General features: G+C 45.7%; 1 long non-coding RNA gene and 2 pseudogenes across 1 annotated transcript in view; 1 reads left to right on the top strand and 2 right to left on the bottom strand.

Moving 5' to 3' along the window:
- The window catches only part of LINC02113 (long intergenic non-protein coding RNA 2113), a 43,965-nt gene extending 38,260 nt beyond the window's left edge, over nucleotides 1-5,705 (bottom strand). The window contains exons 1-2 of the long non-coding RNA NR_110562.1: nucleotides 5,097-5,705; nucleotides 1,774-1,845 (exon numbers count right to left, since the gene is read on the bottom strand). This is a non-coding gene — a long non-coding RNA (long intergenic non-protein coding RNA 2113). The remainder of the gene's footprint in view (nucleotides 1-1,773; nucleotides 1,846-5,096) is intronic.
- Nucleotides 5,328-7,067, bottom strand: GUSBP8 (GUSB pseudogene 8; annotated as a pseudogene).
- On the top strand, nucleotides 14,334-17,297 carry LOC100652833 (putative POM121-like protein 1-like; annotated as a pseudogene).

Here is a 21,346-nt window from a genome sequence, read left to right as displayed (position 1 = left end):
ATTCTAGTCTTTCCCCCAATTGCAAGATCCATGAATAAGCCTTCCTTACCTGTTTAACTTTGCCTAGTTTTATTTAGTAGGGGGGGGATTTGGTGTAGGCAAAGGTGTTTTGGGAACCCAACTGACAGGAAAAAAAGTTAGCGCTAGAATTAGTTTAGATGTAGTGCACATGTGTGTCATACTGCTGTTACTTCTGTGTTCAGTAATTGCTAATAAGGTTTCACAGGCTAATAAGGGCAGCACTAATATTCAAGCATCAATTTGTTTGAAATTAATGCTAATGATCTTAACAATATACAAAATTATCTGTCTCATGTTTAGTGATCCATCAACAGGACTTTTAATTTAAAACCATTCTAGCTGGGCCAGGCACAGAGGCTCAGGGCTGTAATCCCAGCATTTTGGGAGGCAGGTGGGAGGATCACTTGAATCCCAGCAGGTGGGAGGAAAACTTGAAGGCGGGAGTTCAAGACCAGCCTGGGTAAGAAGATGGGACACCGCCCCCCACACCACATCTCTACAAACAAAGTAAATAAATAAATAAATAAGCCAGGCACAGTGGCATTGCCTGTAGTCCCAGCTACTCAGGAAGCTGATGCAGAAGGATGTATTGGGCCTAGGAATTCCAGAATGCAGTAAGCTATGATCATGTCACTTCATTCCAGCCTGGAGCAGAGACAGAGTGAGACTTTGTTTAATATATATATATATATTCTAGTTGATTCTTACTTATGTCCAGAATTTGTCACTATGAGCCATCTTTTTGTCTGGCTCTACATATATTTTCATTCTAATTGCCCACTTCTATCTCACCCATACTTTTTAACCTCACTATTTTTCTCTACTTAGCTATGCCTGAGCACCTACATGTCTCCTTCATCTTATAATGAATTGTCCAGTTACATTTTTACAGAGCCTTATTTTCTGGTTGAATACCACAAAATGCCGCTGATGATGATGAAACAAACAAAAACATTAACAAGAATTTAATCAACAAACGGTGGTCATGCCAAAAATTATTTAAGACAACACACTGCAAAAGGAAGTACAAAGTAAATAAGTTTTGAAATCTTAAAGTTTATACTAAAAGAAACTAAAAAGAGATTTTGACAAATTTAGAAACAATCCTAGAATTTGCATAGCATTTCCAATAACAAGATTGAAGCTGAAAGAAACCTTTCTAAACATTAACTAATAATAAAGGTCTTCATCAACCATGCTAGAAGAAAGACTGAATTACAATTTTGTATTTTTGTAGAGACAATGCTATTACACAATTGTCATCATATGACATGGTAATCAGAAAAAATACAAACAAAATGTAAGAAAATGTATTACAGAGGTTGGTGAGAAAGTTAAATGGTGAAAATATGATTTTAAAAATATTTCTGGTGTTCAAAATTTGTAATTTTATAAAATTGGCTATTCATTGTGATTTATATAGTAATGTTTGGACTTAATGTGACAATTGCAATTTTGCCTTTTTGTTTTTTTACACAGAGGACACATCAAATTTTCTAACTTTCAAAACCTGATACACCTAAAGCAGGCTGTCTTAACGTCTCAGATAGAAGTTTTCTAAACATGTTTTCTTAAAGAAATAGGCAGTTTATTTAAAAAATGAAATAGGCTTCTGAGATTTCCACAGAAAATAATTTTAGTATTTTAATCGTGTATAACTGGTCAGAGAGGAGACATTATTTCAGGATCATTGGAAGTATGTCTGAGAAATATCAGAGAGGGTCAAATCATTGAAAAAATGATGTTAATTACCTGAGGATTTTGCAGCATGATGTAAAGCGAGGCTGGTGTATAAGATCAGGTGTGGAAGGCTGGACTCCAAATCTAAGATAAAAGTGTCAGTAAAAAAGATGAAATGTGAAGATGAGGGGAAGAAAACCAAAATAATGTATATAAAATTATTTACAGTTGAGGTCTGTTTGGGGGTTTAAACCTGTCAGGGGATACTATAATATTGCATATTAATGGCTCTTTTGTGACTTGTTAAAAATGGAGTTATTTGCAATACAAATAACTAAGGATTCCCAGAAGTTCAGAATGTAAAGAAAGTCCTTTAAGATGCTCAAAGCTGTGAAAGCAGTGCCTGTTAGGAAAAAATGTGCAAGTAAAATCATCACCTTCATAAGCTACATATGTCTTTAAAGTGCAAACATTTCTCAGGTTAGGTATTTCTCTGTGACCCATTTTATTTGCATTTTGGGTGAGTTCACGGTGAAATAAGAAGGTTCTCAACGTTACTATCATCTTGGGTATTAACTGACCATCAGTCTGTTTGATCATGACGAAAACTAACACAACATTAAAATACAGTAATAATGATCATATTGAATGATCATTACTGAATGACTCTGAAAAGACTCGTTATAACTATATTTAAGGAAGAAGAAATTTCCACAAGTTAAATTGTTCAGAGATCTGATTTTTTTTGTTTGTTTGTTTTCACTGTCTCTGACATCATGATGCCAAATAAAGTTTTTCTCAATTATTATTATATATAAAGTTTAAAAGCCAGTATAAATCATCCCATGCGTTCTTTTTATGTACAAAAAGTCTTTATGTGCATTAAATAGACATCTGGGTACTTGTGCTTTGATAGTTTAAACTTCTTTTTACGTTAATCGGAAAAAGAAATGTTAGTTTTTAAGAAATAATATTTAAAACATCAAAATCATTTAGCGTTTAATATTACACTCCAATTTTCTTAGTTGAGGAAAGTCCTGTTTGATCTGAAGATTATATGTTGTCCCTGAACTTACTTCTGATTTTGTGATGAGCATTGCATTTTTTTGAGCATTTCAGAAAATCTTATAATGCACAAATAAGATCACTTGAGCCCAGGAGTTTGAGACCAGCCTGGGCAACATCATAGGACTCCATTTCTACAAAACAAAACAAAAAGCCTAGAACGGGAAGAGCTGCCTCTCGGGGCTGAGAACATCCAACTGCACCAATTTAGATCCTGAAATTACCCTGCCCCACAAGCAAAAAACATGGTCACAAAGTGGCCCAAAGGAGGCAGGCCTGTGATTGCACACTGACGCTCACGACGTGTGCAGCTGGGAAGGGCTGTGAGAGGCAGAGCAGCTGCCAACACGTAGTCCTCAGCCAAAACCCAGGGCCCCCGCCACTGGAACTGACTCCTCTCCAGGCAGCACTCCCAGCACTGGGCATCCCCTCACCTTGCCCTGGAGAAGCGCTCCCACCCAAGGAGCCAATGCAGTCATTCTCGCAGATAATCTTTTCTCGCTTTGTTTGGAAGACAGAGTCTCGCCCTGTTGCCCAGGCTAGAATGGAGTGGCACAATAGTGCAACCTCTGCCTCCCACGACCAAGCGCAGGCATGGTGGCATGTGCCTGTTATCCCAGCTACTTGGGAGGCTGAGGCAGGAGAATTGCTTGAACCTGGGAGGCGGAGGTTGCAGTGAGCTGAGACTGTGCCACTGCACTCCAGCCTGGGCAACAGAGCAAGACTCTATCTTTAAAAAAAAAAAAAAAAAAAAAAAAAAGAATGCTAGTATCAGCCAGGCACGGTGGCTCATGCCTGTAATCCCAGCACTTTAGGAGGCTAAGGCAGGAGGATCACTTGAGCTCAAGAGTTTGAGACTGGCCTGGGCAACACAGTGAGATCCCATCTCTACAAAAACATTTAAAATTAGCCGGGCACAGTGGTGTACACCTGGAGTCCCAGCTACTTGGAAGGCTGAGGCAAGAGGGTTGCTTAGGCCCAGGAATTCAAGGCTGCAGTGAGCTGTGATCACACCACTGCACTCCAGCCAGAGCAACAGAGTAAGACCCTGCCTTCACAAAAAAAAAAAAAAAAAAAAAACTCAGGTTCCAACCCTGGAGTTACTAAATCAGGATCTCAGAATGCAGAGATCTGGCATTTCAAAAAAAACTTCCCCTGGAGATTCTGATCAGCCAGGTTTGGGCCAGATGAACTCTAAGCTCACTTAAACCTTTGACATTTTATGAGTCTATTAAATCGAGTACAAAAAATGCTGAGTCCAAACTAAGCAAAACAAATCCCATCTCCCTATTCCCAGCCTCCTTGGATTCAGAAAGCCACACTGCCTGGAGAGTAAGCAGAGAGAGAATTGTCATTAACCCAAAGACCATCTTTGAAAACAGACTGGCTGCGGCTGAGTGCGGTGGCACATGCCTGTAACCCCAGCCCTTTGGAAGGCCGAGGCAGGAGGATCACCTGAGGTCAGGAGTCTGAGACCAGCCTGGCCAACATGGTGAAACCCTGTCTCTACAAAAAATGCAAAAGTTGGCCGGGCACGGTGGCTCACGCCTGTAATCCCAGAACTTTGGGAGATCGAGGTGGGTGGCTCACAAGGTCAAGAGATGGAGACCATCCTGGCCAACATGGTGAAACCCTGTCTCTACTAGAAATACAAAAATTAGCCAGGCATGGTGGCACACACCTGTAGTCCCACCTACTTAGGAGGCTGAGGCAGGAGAATCGCTTGAACCTGGGAAGTGAAGGTTGCAGTGAGCCGAGATCGCACCACTGCACTCCAGTGTGGGCAACAGAGCAAGACTTCATCAAAAAAAAAAAAAAAAAGCAAAAGTTAGCTGGGCATGGTGGCACACATCTATAATCCCAGCTACTTGGGAGGCTGAGGCAGAAAGATGACCTGAGCCTGGGAAGTCGAGGCTGCAGTGCACTGAGATCGTGCCACTGTACTCCAGCCTGGGCAAGCAGAGTGAGACCCTGTTTCAAAAAAAAAACAGGCCAAGCACAGTGGCTCATTTGTGCCTGTAATCCCAGCTACTCAGGAGGCTGAGGCAGAAGAATCACTTGAACCCAGGAGGCTGAGGTTGTAGTGAGCTGAGATCGTGCCACTGCACTCCAGCCTGAGCGACAGAGCGAAACTCCATCTCAAAAAAATAGAAAAAGAAAACTACAATTTGGGTGGGTAGATATTTAGTTCCCTGAACCGTCTGGGTATGGACGGCCCTCCCATTGGGCTGGGACAGGATGCTGATCTCGGATAGCACACGTCCACCACAGTCTGCCATCTGCCAGGGTCTCCTGCCTGATCCAGCCCAGGGCAGGCAGCGGGCACTCACTTGAAGGAGTAGCCGGCAGATTCCAGGAAGGACGCAGGCTCTTTGGCCAAGGACCACATCACCATGGCGGGGTGGTTCTTGTCTCTGAGCACCGGTTCCTCCACCACCCACATATGGTGATGCATAGACACGTTGTTGAAGAGTTGCCAGCGGGCCAGGAGGGAAGGGACAGAGGGTCACGGTGTGGCCCGAGGGCTGGCCAGGCAGAGCGGGTGCACAGCAGGGACTCATGGCAGCATCAGGCCCACAGCAGGACACTCATCGATGACCACAATCCCATACCGGTAACATATCTGCAGCATCTCCTCTGTGTAGGGATAGTGGCTGGTGCAGAAGGTGTTGGCGCCAAGCCAGCAAAGCAGGTTGAAGTCCTTCACCAGCAGCGGACAGTTGAAGCCCTTCCCTTGGATCTAGGGGACAGCAGAGCCGAGTGACCCCTGTCCCTGTCGAAGCGGCACTTCCTCTGAGAGCCAGGACCCTGGAGAACCACCCCATGAGGTCCCCTCTCCAGCCCAAGCACCGGCTCCACCATGGGGTGGTTTGGAGCCATTTGCCTCATTGCCTTGAGCTGCCCTCAACTGCAGGACACAGGGAAGGCTAAAGTGGAAGGTGACCAGAAGCAGCCCCCACGAGGACCCAGGAGCCCCAACGCACGTCCGCATCCTCATGCTTGTTGACGCCGTGGAAATAGAAAGGTTTCCCACTGATGAGGAACTGGCTCTCGGTGACGGCCACAGTGCGGAGCCCCACAGGGAGTGTGTAGAAGTCAAAGGCCCCAGTGACTTCTGTGCAGTCAGCCACACCTACGACAGCCAAAGTGCCAGGTGTGAGCGCCCCGACAGCCTGAGCCCCATCTGGCCTGCCCTACAGCAGGAAGACCCCTCGTGCATGCACCCCAGCAGTCACCTCTGGGCCTGCAGAGAAGCAGCAATCAGAGGCTCTGCCCTTCACTGGCTGACCCTGGGACCTGCCCTTCAAAATCGGGCCTTCTCCTTGACCAGACGAGATGGCTCATGCCTGGAATCCCTACACTTTGGGAGGCTAAGGCAGGAGGATCACTTGAGTTCAGGAGTTCAAGACCAGCCTGGACAACAGAGTAAGACCCCAACTCTATAAAAAGGATTGTTTTTTGAGACAGTCTCACTCTGTCACCCAGGATAGAGTGCAGTGGCATGATCTCAATTCACCACAGCCCCTGCCTCCTGGGTTCAAGCAATTACCCTGCCTCAGCCTCCCGAGTAGCTGGGATTACAGACGTGCACCATCATGCCCTGCAAATTTTCGTATTTTAGTAGAGACGGGGTTTCACCATGTTGGCCAGGCTGGTCTCCAACTCCTGGCCTAAAGTGACCCGCCCGCATCAGCCTCCCGAAGTGCTGGGATTACAGGCGTGAGCCACCATGCCCGGCCTACAAAAAAATTTTTTTTAATTAGCCAGGCATGGTGGCATGTGCCTGTAGTCCCAGCTACTCAGGAGGCCAAGGTAGGAGGATTGCAGCTCAAAGCTGCAGTGAGCTGTGATCAGGCCATTGCATTCCAGCCTGGGTGACAGAGTGAGACCATCACAGAAAATAAATAAATAAATAAATAAATAAATAAATAAATAAATAAATATAAGTAAATAAATAAATAAAAAATCTGGGCCTCCCACCAAGGGTGGGAAACATCAGAAAGCTCAGAGGACCACACCTGCCCGTTCACCTATCCTGGGATCCTGCTGAAGCCAGGGCTACCAGATGGGGGCAAAAGACCTCCCTTAAGCAAGTCCCAAACCACCATTACCTCCCACGAGTACAGGTAGGCGGGGTGTTCGTGCATCAGGTACGGCCACCAGAGGTTGGTACCCAGCACCTTCAGCTGGCCCTGGGTCCCAGCCTGGTTGTCCACGACCTTGTTTTCTGCATTCAAAAGATACACTTCCAACTTGAACTGGTTACTGCACTTGACGGAGATCTGGTAATTCACTAGCCCTGCAGGAGGCAAGAGAGACCAGGGCTTAGGGAGGGACATGACCTGGGTCACACAAACGGGAATGCCCCACAATGACCACTTCCAGGCACCCTCATTTGCTTCTGTTGCTTTTTTTTTTTTTTTTTTTTTTTTTTTGAGATAGAATCTCGCTCTGTCACCCAGGCTGGAGGGCAGTGGCATGATCTGGACTCACTGAAACCTCTGCCTCCCAGGTTCAAGTGATTCTCCTGCCTCAGCTTCTGGAATAGCTGGGATTACAGACACCTGCCACCACATCCAGCTAATTTTTGTATTTTTAGTAGAGACGGGGTTTCACCACATTAGCCAGGATGGTCTTGATCTCCTGACCTCGTGATCTGCCTGCCTCAGCCTCCCAAAGTGCTGGGATTACAGGCTTGAGCCACTGTGCCCAGCCCTGAACCAATGCTCCCGGCCCGCTTTTTTTTAATTTAATTTTTTTTTTTTTTTGAGATGGAGTCTCACTCTGTCACCCAGGCTGGAGTGTAGTGCTGCGATCCTGACTCACTGCAAACTCCACCTCTGGAGTTCAGGTGATTCTCCTGCCTCAGCCTTCCGAGTACCTGGGAATACAGGAATGCACCACCATGCCCGGCGAATTTTTGTATTTTTAGTAGAGACGGAGTTTTGCCATGTTGGCCAGGCTGGTCTCGAACTCCTGAACTCAGGTGATCCAACCGCCTCAGTCTCCCAATAGATTAGATATATTATTAATGAATTGCTTCCTTTAACACCCTATTCATTGAATTTTCCAGTAAACCACAATTACCAATTACTCCTGAAATCAGAAAAGAGGTTAAAAAGATTTTATAACAGTATCCTATGAAATCTACCACTTTCAAGTAATAGTAGTTGAATTACCAAAACCCGTCACTCAAGCCAATGACTACAATTAAGATATCAGTAACATTTCCTAGATAAATAAAGTCAATTAATTATATTTGCATCTGGGAAATAGAGAAAGTACATATAAGCCATGATTTTGAAGTCAAAAGAGAGAGAATATTTGGCAAGGAGGGGTGAGTTATAGTATGTAATTATAACATATAGTAGTTTTTTGTATGCTGGTAACTAATTTTAATTTCCTACATTTTTATGTAGATTTCTGCTATTCTTGTCCTATTTTCCTAATCATCTTTCTATATGGGTGACTACATAAGTCTGAGAATACCAAAAGAGATAGACACAGAACCAATCGGATTCCTTTCTTCTTGAAGCTTCTGCACAGCAAAAGAAACTATCAACAGAGTGAACAGACAACCTACAGAATGGGAGAAAATTTTTGCAACAATGCACGTGACAAAGATCTAATGTCCAACACTGATAAGGAACTTAAACAAATTTACAAGAAAAAAAAATCTCATTAGAAAGTGGGCAAAGGACATAAACAGACACTTCAAAAGAAGACACACATGCGGCCAACCAGCATATGAAAAAAAGCTCAATATCACTGATCATTAGAGAAATGCAAATCAAAACCACAATGGCATACCATCTCACACCAGTCAGAATGGTTATTATTAAAAAGTCAACGCCGGGCATGGTGGCTCACGCCTATAATCCCAGCACTTTAGGAGGCCAAGGCAGGCAGGTCACATGAGGTCAGGAGTTCCAGACCAGCCTGGACAACCTGGCGAAACCCCGTCTCTACTAAAAATACAAAAATTAGTCCAGCGTGGTGGCGGGCACCTGTAATCCCAGCTACTCAGGATGCTGAGGCAGGAGAATCGCTTGAACCCGGGAGGCAGAGGTTGTAGTGAGCCGAGATCATGCCACTGCACTCTCCAGCTTAGGTGACAGAGCGAGACTCTGTCTCAAAAAAATAAAATTATATTTGAATTTTGTTTAAATCGCTAACACATACTGGGCATTTAATAACAAAACAAAGGACATGAGATTGTGATCCTTATGAGGGTTTGAGAGGCATTTCACTAGGGTTCAACATACAGCAGTCTGAAACATACTGTAATAATTTAATCCAATGGCTCATCTACAGCACCTAAAAAGATTACAGCAGATTCTCATTATTCAGTGTAGTTACGGTCTAGAAAGTTCCATGAACAAATAAAAAGTTAGGTTTCAGCAAGCTACTGGTCATATTTTTGTAAGCTTACCAACACCTACTTTTGTTGTATGTGTGCTTATTTAATATATATTGTTGGCCAGGCACAGTGGCTAACGCCTGTAATCCCAGCACTTTGGGAAGCCAAGGTGGGCAGATCATTTGAGGTCTGGAGTTCGAGACCAGCCTGGCCAACGTGGTGAAACCCCGTCTCTACTAAAACTACAAAAAAAAAAAAAAAATTAGCCAGGCATGGTGGCGCATGCCTGTAGTCTTAGCTACTTGGGAGGCTAAGGCAGGGGAATCGCTTGAACCCAGGAGGCAGAGGTTGCAGTGAGCCAAGACTGCACCACTGCACTCCAGCCTGAGCAACAGAGTGAGACTGTATCTCAAAAAAAAAAATAATATATAATTAATTACATGAATGAATAAATAAATAATATACATTGTTCATTCATTAACACTGAACTCACAGCCAATGGCACTACAGCACTCACGCCTGAATGGAGTTGATTTAATGCATGTATTTTCTCTGTAAGGCACATCACAGACTTCTTGGACTTGTGAATGCTAAGCAGCACTTCAGCACTATGCTTGGGGGTTAATTTAAATGGCAAAACAACCAACAAACAGTACAAAAATAGGAAAAGCATGGCATTAAATGGACCACAAAAAGGATACCTGACTATTGTATGAGAGCTGAAAAAGAAGGCAGAATATCACCCTGTTCAAACTCAAATTCTTTGACACTCTATGCAAACACATGACTATGAAAGTGCTGTGAGTACTGATTTGGGGGTTACAAAAAATAGTAGGTGAGTTCACAAATACAAAAGCTGAAAACAAGAAGGATCGACTGTATTTTTGTAGACAATCTAATCTCATAGAAGATTTCAATTCAGACAAAAATCATGAGAATTACTGTATTACAAAAGGGCACTAGATAGGGGGAAAAGAGTAAAAATCAGAATTAAAACAAAGGTTCAAAATTCTGCATCAACCATATCCAGTTACACTTTAATATGTTTGTGGCAGACTACATTATTGTTCCCAACTCATCACCCCTCCCTATATCTACAACCTTTCCCCAAGACAATGCAGTTCCTCCTGCTAGAGATCAGGTATATTTATCTATACTATCAATGTGAGCCATGGACAAGGTATGTGCTTTGGCTGACTGAATGTTAGTGGACATGATAGAAGCAATGGCTTAAAATGTACTTCCAGAACTGGAGTTTCCTTGTGATTCTATCACTGTGACAAAAACACATTCTCAGGTAGTCCACTGATCCAAGGGGGAACAAACACACAGAAAACATACCTAGACTCCATCTGCAGCTTGCAGCCTCACCAAGCCAAGAACAGTCAACTCACGGATATGTTAGCAAAAATAAATGTTTTTCGTACCTTAAGCTTTATATAATTATTGACCTATAGTTAACTGATATACAATATACATTAATCTTAAAATATCATTATCCCATTAAAAATATTTACCTTAAAAACTGATCACTTTCTTCCCTCCGTTTTTTTTTTTTTTTTTAAATTAAGAGACAGGGTGTCTCAATGTTGCCCAAGCTGGAGTTCAGTGGCTAGTGGCTATTCACAAGAATGATCATCGCACACTACCTCAAACTCCTGGGATCAAGCAATCCTCCTGCCTCAGGTTTCCAAGTAGCTGGGACTATAAGTGTGTACCACAGCATGTCAGCTCTCTCTCTTCTTCTTGACCTAAAGCCTAGCATAAAATTAGCTAAGTAGAATGTTTCCAAAGATGCCTGCATCAGTATCTCCCATCCCACATAATTTCTGTTTGATTTTGCCATTCACCCATAAAATGGTGGGATCTACCTCCCCTCCTTGCAAATTTGAGCTGGCCCTCTGATCCTGTCTAAGATCTGAAGCCAGATATTAACGTACTTAATTAATTTCCATGTTTGTCCTCTATGCAACCTAGCAATCAAGCAAGAAGTCAAAACCTACTGATTTACTTTGGATGTGTCCCCACCCAAATCTCACCTTGCATTGTAATAATTCCTACGTGTCAAGGGTGGGGCCAGGTGCAGATAACTGAATCATGGGGATGGTTCCCCCCATACTGTTCTCGTGGTAGTGAATAAGTCTCATGAGATCTGATGGTTTTATAAATGGGAGTTCCCCTGCACATGCTCTCTCCTGCCTGCCACTATGTGAGACATGCTTTTGCACCTCCTTGCCTTCCACCATGATTGTGAGGCCTCCCCAGCCATGCAGAACTGTGAGTCAATTCAACCTCTTTCCTTTATAAATTACCCAGTCTCAGGTATGTCTTTACTTGCAGTGTGAGAACAGACTAATACAATAAGTTGATACCAGTAGAGTGGGGTGCTGCTGTAAAGATACCCGAAAATGTGGAAGCAACTTTGGAAATGGGTAACAGGGAGAGGCTGGAACAGGTTGGAAGGCTCAGAAGAGGATAGGAAAATGTGGGAAAGTTTGGAACTTCCTAGAGACTTGTTGAATGGCTTTGACCAAAATGTTCATAGTGATATGGACAATAAGGTCCAGGCGGAGGTGGTCTCAGATAGAGATGAGGAATTTGTTGGGAAATGGAGTGAAGTCACTCTTACTATACAAAGACACTGCAGGCATTGTGCACCTGTATTAGAAACGGGCATAAGATAGGCGGGAAAGAGTGAAAATAAGAATTTTTTTCTAGAGTTGCCTAGAGATCTGTGGAACTTTGAACTTGACAGAGATGATTTAAGGTATCTGACAGAAGAAATTTCTAAGCAGCAAAGCATGCGAGAAGAAGCAGAGCATAAAAGTTCAGAAAATTTGTAGCCTGATGATGCAACAGAAAAGAAAAATCTATTTTCTGAGGAGACTGGGTTGTAGAAATTTGCATAAGTAATGAGGAGCCAAATGTTAATCACCAAGACAATGGGGCAAACGTATCCAGGGCATGTTAGAGACCCTCACAGCAGACCCTCCCATCACAGGCCAGGAGGCTTAGAAGGAAAAATGGTTTTGTGGGTCCAGAAACCCCTGCTGTGTGCAGCCTAGGAACTTGGTGCCCTGCATCCCAGCTGCTCCTGCCATAGGTAAAAGGGGCCAAGGTACACCTCAGGCCATGGCTTCAGAGGGTGCAAGTTCCAAGCCTTTCAGGTTCTAGGTGGTGTTAAGCCAGCAGATGCTCCAAAGTCAAGAATTAAGGTTCATGAACCTCCGCCTAGATTTCAGAAGATGTATGAAAATGCCTGGAAATCCAGGCAAAAGTTTGCTGCGGGGGGGAGGGGGGGCCCTCATGGATAACCTCTGGTAGGGCAGTGTCAAAGGGAAATATGGGGTTGGAGCCCCCACACAGAGTTCCCACTGGGGTACTGCCAAGCAGAGCTGTGAGAAAAGGGCCACCATCCTCCAGACCCCAAAATGGGAGATCCACTGACAGCTTGCACTGTGTGCCTGGAAAAGCTGCAGACACTCAATGCAGCCAGAAGGGGGGCTGTACCCTGCAAAGCCACAGGGGCGGGGCTGCCCAAGACCCTGGGAACCCACTTCTTGCATCACCTAGATGTGACACATGGAGTCAAAGGAGGTCATTTTGGAGCTTTAAGATTTGCCTGCTGGGTTTTGGATTTGCATGGGGCCTGTAGCTCTTTTGCTTTGGCCAATTTCTCCCATTTGAAACGAGTGTATTTACCCAATGCCTGTATCCCTGTGTATCTAGAAAATAACTTGCTTTTGATTTTACAGGCTCATAGGTGGAAGGGACTTGCCTTGTCTCAGATGAGACTTTGGACTATGGAATTTTGAGTTAATGCTGAAATAAGAGTTTGGGGGACTTTGTGGAAGGCATGATTGCTTTTGAAATGTGAGGACATGAGATTTGGGAGGGGCTGGGGAAGAATTATATGGTTTGGCTCTGTCCCCACCCAAATCTCATCTGGAATTGTAACAATTCCCATGTGTCAAGGGTGGGGCCAGGTGGAGATAATTGAATCATGGAGGCAGTTTCCCCCATGCTGTTCTCATGGTAGTGAATAAGTCTCATGAGATCTGATGGTTTTATCAATGGGAGTTCCCCTGCACATGCTCTCTCCTGCCCACCATGTCTGACTAAATTTTGTATTTTTACTAGAGACGGGGTTTCACTATGTTGGCCAGGCTGGTCTCCAACTCCTGATCTCGTGATCCGTCCACCCCGACCTCCCAAAGTGCTAGGATTATAGGCATAAGCCACCACACCCAGCCTCTTTTTTTTCTTTTTCTTTTTTTTATCTGGAGACTGAGTTTTGCACTTGTTGCCCAGGCTGGAGTGCAATGGTGCGATCTCAGCTCACTGCAGTCTCCACCTCAGCAGGAGAGCAGGAATCTTCAGTGATCCACGGGCAGATCTGCAGCCACTGTGGGCACCTGCTCCTCCCACGACCTTTGTGCCCGTGTCTCTCCCTCCAGTACCTATTGCACGACACCCCACGTCCGCCTCCTGCCATTGCCAGCAAGTGCCTTGTGCGGGTACCTGGCTGTGCTTATTAATCCATTATGGTCGCTCTGTCACTGGTGCCATTATGTGCTCACGTGCCCACTCCCTCAGGTTTAGAAGGCGCGTTGCCCGGCAACAGAAGAGTCTGCTGGCTTAGCCTTTGGCCGAGTTGGCAGCTGGATGAGGACGCTCAGAGCCCAGCTCTCGAGAGTTCAAGCATCCGACGGTTCCCCACTGCTCCCAGGAGCGGTTACCTGGGCACTCTGTGCCCCTCATTCCTGTTTGGGCCAAGGCTGAGGACCTGCGAGTAGGGCTCAGTTGCCTGGAGCCCCTTCAACCCATCCCCCAGTTCACTTTGCTTGTGGGATCTCCCCGTTGCTCCTGCCCCTGGACTGAGTGGCAGGTCATCCTACAAGCACCCAGACACTCGACATCAGTGGTGTCAAGACAACTCCAAGAAGGTTTTCCGTGATCCTGCAAGACCTGTGTTCCATCCTGGTGATTCTGCCTTCAATTTCACTGCACAGGTACCATAGCAAGTCAGTGCTGTGTGCTCCGAGTTCCAGGGCATCCTCCAGCTCAGCCACTACACTGAGCACAAGGACTCTGTGGGGCCCCAGGAGCAGGTAGTCACCCCATTGGGGTTCACAACACCCGGCTGTCCCCAGACTTGTGTCCAGGGAAGATAGTGTTGAGGGCCCTCAAGGAGAGCGGGGCAGGGATGCCTGAGCAGGACAAGGACCCTAGAGTCCAAGAGAATCCTGATGATCAGAGAAGGGTCCCCAAGGTCACCGGGGATGCACGGTCTGCATTTCGGCCCCTGCGGGACAATGGAGTCCTCTCTCCCTTTGTGCCCAGGCCCGGGCCTCTGCAGACATACCTCCATGCCCAGAGGTCAGAAATCAGATATAACCAGACATCCCAGAATACCTGGACGAGCTCGTGCACCAACCAAAATGCCATCTCCAGCTCCTATAGCTCCGTGGGAGGCTTGCTGGGGCTAAAGTGGAGGAGGGGGCCAGCAGGGCAGGAGAGCGGGGCAGGGATGCCTGAGCAGGACGAGGACCCTAGAGTCCAAGAAAATCCTGATGATCAGAGAACGGTCCCCGAGGTCACCAGGGATGCATGGTCTGCATTTCGGCCCCTGCGGGACAATGGAGGCCTCTCTCCCTTTGTGCCCAGGCCCGGGCCTCTGCAGACAGAACTGAATGCCCAGAGCTCAGAAATCAGATATAACCAGACATCCCAGACCTCCTGGGCGAGCTCGTGCACCAAACGAAATGCCATCTCCAGCTCCTACAGCTCCACGGGAGACTTGCCGGGGCTAAAGCAGAGGAGGGGGCCAGCCTCATCCCACTGCCAGCTGACCCTCAGTTACTCAATGACAGTGAGTGAGGACAGGCTTCAGGCTGTCTCTTTGGGTCAAACACGGTGTGAACAGGCGGCAGATACAGCACCAGGGCAGACACTCGCCCCAAGGGGTGGCTCCCCCAGATCTCAGGCCTCTAGGCCCCATAGACACAAGATTCCCCTGCTGCCACGCAGGCGAGGGGAGCCTTTGATGCTGCCACCTCCCTTAGAGCGGGGGTACCGGGTCACTGATGAAGACCTGCACCTGGAAAAAGAGGCGGCATTACACCGGATCAACAGTGCACTGCAGGTTGAGGACAAGGCCATCTCGGATTGCAGACCCTCACGGCCTTCCCACACTTTCTCCTCACTTGCAACAGGGGCTTCTGGTGGGTCTCCCGTTTCTAAAGCACCCACTATGGATGCACAGCAGGACAGACCCAAGTCCCAAGACTGCCTGGGCCTAGTGGCCCCCCTAGCATCTGCTGCACAGGTCCCCTCCACAGCTCCTGTGTCTGGGAAGAAGCACAGACCACCAGGACCCCTGTTCTCCTCCTCAGATCCCCTTCCTGCCACATCTTCCCACTCCCGGGACTCAGCCCAGTACACCTCGCTGATTCCTGCCCCCTTCACAGCTGCAAGCATGGATGCCGGCATGAGAAGAACAAGGCCTGGCACGTCGGCTCCTGCAGCTGCCGCAGCAGCCCCTCCCCCCTCCACATTGAACCCCATGTTGGGGTTACTACTCAATGCAATGGATGCAGGCCCCTCATATTTCTGGGCCTCAGCCACAGCTGCAGCAGGTGCCCAGAGGTCAGAAGTGAGATATAACCAGAGATCCCAGACCTCCCGGACCAGATCGTGCACCAAACGAAATGCCAGCTCGAGCTCCTACAGCTCTACGGAAGGCCTCCCGGAACTAAAGCGGAGGAGGGGACCAGCCTCATCCCACTGCCAGCTGGCCCTCAGTTCCTCAAACACAGTGAGTGAGGACGGACCTCAGGCTGTCTCTTCGGGTCACAGCCACTGTGAAAACAACGCAGATACAGCACCAGGGCAGACACTCGCCCCCACGGGTGGCTCCCCCAGATCCCAGGCCTCTAGGCCCTGCATCAACAGTGCACTGCAGGTTGAGGACAAGGCCATCTCGCACTGCAGACCCTCATGGCCTTCCCACACTTTGTCCTCACTTGCAACAGGGGCTTCTGGTGGGTCTAGCGTTTCTAAAGCACCCACTATGGATGCACAGCAGGACAGACCCAAGTCCCAAGACTGCCTGGGCCTAGTGGCCCCCCTAGCATCTGCTGCACAGGTCCCCTCTACAGCTCCCGTGTCTGGGAAGAAGCACAGACCACCAGGACCCCTGTTCTCCTCCTCAGATCCCCTTCCTGCCACCTCTTCCCACTCCCGGGACTCAGCCCAGGTCACCTCGCTGATTCCTGCCCCCTTTACAGCTGCAAGCATGGATGCCGGCATGAGAAGAAGGAGGCCTAGAACGTCGGCTCCTGCAGCTGCCGCAGCAGCCCCTCCCCCCTCCACATTGAACCCCATGTTGGGGTTACTACTCAATGCAATGGATGCAGGCCCCTCATATTTCTGGGCCTCAGCCACAGCTGCAGCAGGTGCCCAGAGGTCAGAAGTGAGATATAACCAGAGATCCCAGACCTCCCGGACCAGATCGTGCACCAAACGAAATGCCAGCTCGAGCTCCTACAGCTCTACGGAAGGCCTCCCGGAACTAAAGCGGAGGAGGGGGCCAGCCTCATCCCACTGCCAGCTGGCCCTCAGTTCCTCAAACACAGTGAGTGAGGATGGACCTCAGGCTGTCTCTTCGGGTCACAGCCACTGTGAAAACAACGCAGATACAGCACCAGGGCAGACACTCGCCCCCAGGGGTGGCTCCCCCAGATCCCAGGCCTCTAGGCCCCGCATCAACAGTGCACTGCAGGTTGAGGACAAGGCCATCTGGCACTGCAGACACTCACGGCCTTCCCACACTTTGTCCTCACTTGCAACAGGGGCTTCTGGTGGGTCTAGCGTTTCTAAAGCACCCACTATGGATGCACAGCAGGACAGACCCAAGTCCCAAGACTGCCTGGGCCTAGTGGCCCCCCTAGCATCTGCTGCACAGGTCCCCTCTACAGCTCCCGTGTCTGGGAAGAAGCACAGACCACCAGGACCCCTGTTCTCCTCCTCAGATCCCCTTCCTGCCACATATTCCCACTCCCGGGACTCAGCCCAGGTCACCTCGCTGATTCCTGCCCCCTTCACAGCTGCAAGCATGGATGCCGGCATGAGAATGAATGCCGGCATGCGAAGAATGTTTTGTGTTTGAAATTGTTTGAGGGGTTTGGGTTTATGTTTGTTGGTTTTTTTTTTTTTTTTTTTTTTTTTTGCTTACATGGGCATCCTTCAGCTTTTAATAATCTGAAAAATTCTATTTACCCATTGTCAATGTGTATAAATTAATCTGAGTGAATTTTATACAATAAAAGGCGAACTTTTATGCATGAAACAATAATTTACAAAAAATGTACCAGAAGAAGTATGTTCATTACAAATATAGGAAACATAAATATTACCAAATATTGGCAAGCACTAAAATGTTCAGAAATATAAGTCTATTACAGTTATAGCTCTCTCAAGCAAAAAAATAGCAGAGAAAAACTTAGTTTACCTTAGGGGCTATTTATTGACTTAGAGATTTGCTAAAAGGTCAAATGGGGTCACACAGAATACTAAGAGCTGTTCACCCAGACCTCACTAAGAACTCTTCTTCATTCAGTAGCTATATAGTAATATGACAACTGCTCCTACCACCCAGAGAGGAACTACAGCAACTACTCTTTAGCACCTGTTGCTCCTAACTCTGCTTTGCAATTATATGACTCAAGCATTCTGGCTCCGTTAACTATTACTTCTGTTACTCCCAACTGAATCCCCTCTAACCCTCCCACTCTGCCTATTTCAGCTTTCTGCTGCCTCATGACTTCAATTCCATCAGAGTTATGCATTGTTTCCTCTGTACATCTTTGCTCTGCTTCCATTGCTAATTCCCTAGTAAAGTGTTGTATACTCAAAGTTCCAAAGAAACAGAATATCCAAGACATCACCAATCGTCCAAAACACAGTGTAGGAGGCCACAGTTAAGAGAAGCAAGACCATTAGCTCTTTTTATAGGCTGGAGAACAACAGGATTCTTTGGTCCTGTATCAGCAGGATGCTTTTTGGGTAGATCCTACTTCCACCCTACTATCGGGTAGATCCTACTGCCACCCTAGCTATGCGCACATGTCAGAGTCCCATGTAATAAAGGAGACAAAAGGAAACCACCACGAGTATAAACTAAGAAAAGTACTCCAAGGTTTCTAAGAATGGAGCTGTATAACTCACTTTGCCCCATTTGTTACTTCTCCACGGTACTTACCACCGCCTATTATATATATTTTGTTTATAGTCAGTCTTCCCTCATTAGAATGAAAGTTCCGTGAGGATAGGACTATACAGTCAGCCCTCAGTATCCATGGGGGACTAGTTTCAGGATCTCCTGAGGATAACATAGGATACTCAAGTCCCTGATATAAAATGACATAGTATTTGCAGATCACCTTTACACATCCTCCCATATACTTCATATCAACTCTAGATCACTCATAATATTCAATGTAAATGTTATGCAAATAGTTATTGTACTATATTGTGTAAGGAATAAGGACAAGAAAAAAGTCTGTACATGTTCAGTACAGACGCAATTTTTTTTCCCAATATTTCCAATCCTTGGTTGGCTTAATAAACAGATGTAGAACCCAGGAATAAGTTCTGGTGTCCTATTGCATAGTAGGATGAGTATAGTTAACAATAACATATTATATATTTGAAAATAGCCAGAAGAGTAGATTTTGAATTTTCTCCCTACAGAAAAATCATTATGCAAATTACCCTGATTTGATCATTACACATTGAGTACATGTATTAAAACATCACATTGTACCCCATATATATGTACAAGTATGTGTCAATAAAAATTTAATGTCAATATGTGAAATAAAATGAAAAAATAAAAATTTTTAAAGCTGTAATTATCTCCATCTGGTAGGAATACATATAATCTGAAATAAAAAAATATATTTGTAATTGTTAGGACAAAATAGATTATAGATTATTTTAAGTTTGCAACTTATAAATTACAAAATTCTCACAGAACCTGAAAAATTATTGGTATTGTTAAATATTTTAAAAGCTGTCCTTGGAGAGAAAGAAACCTATCAGATTTACATCAACAAGTGCAATATATCAGCCTATTACCATCTGCTACAGACTGCATGTTTGTGTTCCCTCAAAATTCATATGATAGGCCGGGCGCGGTGGCTCATGCCTGCAATCCCAGCACTTTGGGAGGCCGAGGCGGGTGGATCACCACGTCAGGAGATCGAGATCATCCTGGCTAACATGGTAAAACCCCATCTCTACTAAAAATACAAAAAATTAGCCGGGCGCAGCGGTGGGCGCCTTAGTCCCAACTACTGAGGAGGCTGACACAGGAGAATGGCGTGAACCCAGGAAGCGGAGCTTGTAGAGAGCCGAGATTGTGCCACTGCACTCCAGCCTGGGTGACAGACAGAGCGAGACTCTGTCTTAAAAAAAAAAAAAAATTCATATGATAAAGCCCTAACCCCCAAGGTGAGGATATTGGGAGGCGTGGCCTTTAGGAGAGAATTAGGTTTAGATGAGGTCATGAGAATAGAGCCCCTATAGTGGCATTACTTCCTTTATAAGAAGAGACACTAGAGCTGCTTTTCTCCCTACCATGTGAGGATACTGAGAGAAGATGGCCATTTCCAATCTAGGAAGGAGGCCCTCTTTAAGAAACGTAATTTGCCAACACTTTGATCTTGCACTTCCAGCCTCCAGAACTGTGAGAAATACCTCTTCTTTTTTTTTTTTTTTTTTTTTTGAGACAGAGTCTCATTCTGTCATCCAGGCTGGAGTACAGTGGTGCGATCATGGCTCACTGCAACCTCCACCTCCCAGGTTCAAGCAATTCTCCCACCTCAGCCTCCCAAGTAGCTCAGACTACAGGCGTGCACCACCATGCCCAGCTAATTTTTGTAGAGACAAGGTTTTGCCATGCTGCCCAGGCTAGTCTCAAACTCCTGAGCTCAAGTTATCCACCTGCCTCGGCCTCCCAAAGTGTTAGGAATACAGGCATAAGCCACCATGCCTGGTCAAAATATCTACTGATTAAGCTACCTAATTTGTGGTATTCTGTTTTAGCAGCTGAAGCAGACTAAGATACCATCCTATAAGCTACAGACCAGCACTATCCAATAGAACTTTATATGACGAGGAAATGTTTTATATCTGTGCTATCCATTATGTTAGCCACTAGCCACAGGTATCCATCAAGTATTTGAAATATGGCTAGTGCAACTAAAGAACTTAATTTTTATTTTTTTTTATTTTTTTTTATTTTTTTTTATTTTTTTTTGAGAAGGAGTCTCGCTCTGTCCCCCAGGCTGGAGTGCAGTGGCGCCATCTCGGCTCACTGCAAACTCTGCCTCCCAGGTTCAAGCCATTCTCCTGCCTCAGCCTCCTGAGTAGCTGGGACTGCAGGTGCCCGCCACCACGCCCAGCTAATTTTTTGTATTTTTAATAGAGATGGGGTTTCACCATCTTATTAAGGATGGTCTCGACCTCCTGACCTCATGATCTGCCCGCCTCGGCCTCCCAAAGTGCTGGGATTACAGGCGTGAGCCACCGCGCCCGGCCAATTTTTATTTCATCTTATTTAAATAACCCCATGTGGCCAGTGGCTACTGTATTGAACACTACAGCTGTAGACAATATGAAATAAATATAAAGCAGTCTCCACTTTGGAAAAACAGAAGACTCTTACTGCCTCATAATATAGATGAAAAATGAAATACTAAGATAAGTAAAATGTTCTTTAAAGAACAAAAACAAAAGAAAACCTAATGAAAGCTATAAAAGTCCATTGGATAATAATGCTACCAGTACTAAGGAAGTACAGCCCCTAAAAGTGACTTGCAGTCACAAATATAAAAACGACTATTCAAGTGAACTCCTAAGGTAAAAATTTGTTATTCACCATGCTCCAAAATGGTCTGTAACATTCTTCAGAGATGGCATGGTAAAGTACGATACAAGGGTAATATTAACAGTATGCTGTCACAGGTGCCATTCTCTTAAAAAAGAAATCCCAAAATAAATATAAATGGAAAGCAAATAATTAAACACACTAAATACAGATTATTACAAAAATCCATAAGGAATTCTGGTGCAGAAAGAACTTCATAATCAAAATCCCAAATATAAAATTTATCTATCAAAAGTGAAAATGCTGACATACAGTTTCTTGCAAAA

Source organism: Homo sapiens, chromosome 5 (genome assembly GCF_000001405.40).
Source record: "Homo sapiens chromosome 5, GRCh38.p14 Primary Assembly".
Taxonomy (NCBI): domain Eukaryota; kingdom Metazoa; phylum Chordata; class Mammalia; order Primates; family Hominidae; genus Homo; species Homo sapiens.
The sequence above is the reverse complement of the archived record's forward strand: the minus strand, read 5'-3'. Positions and strand labels throughout refer to the sequence as shown.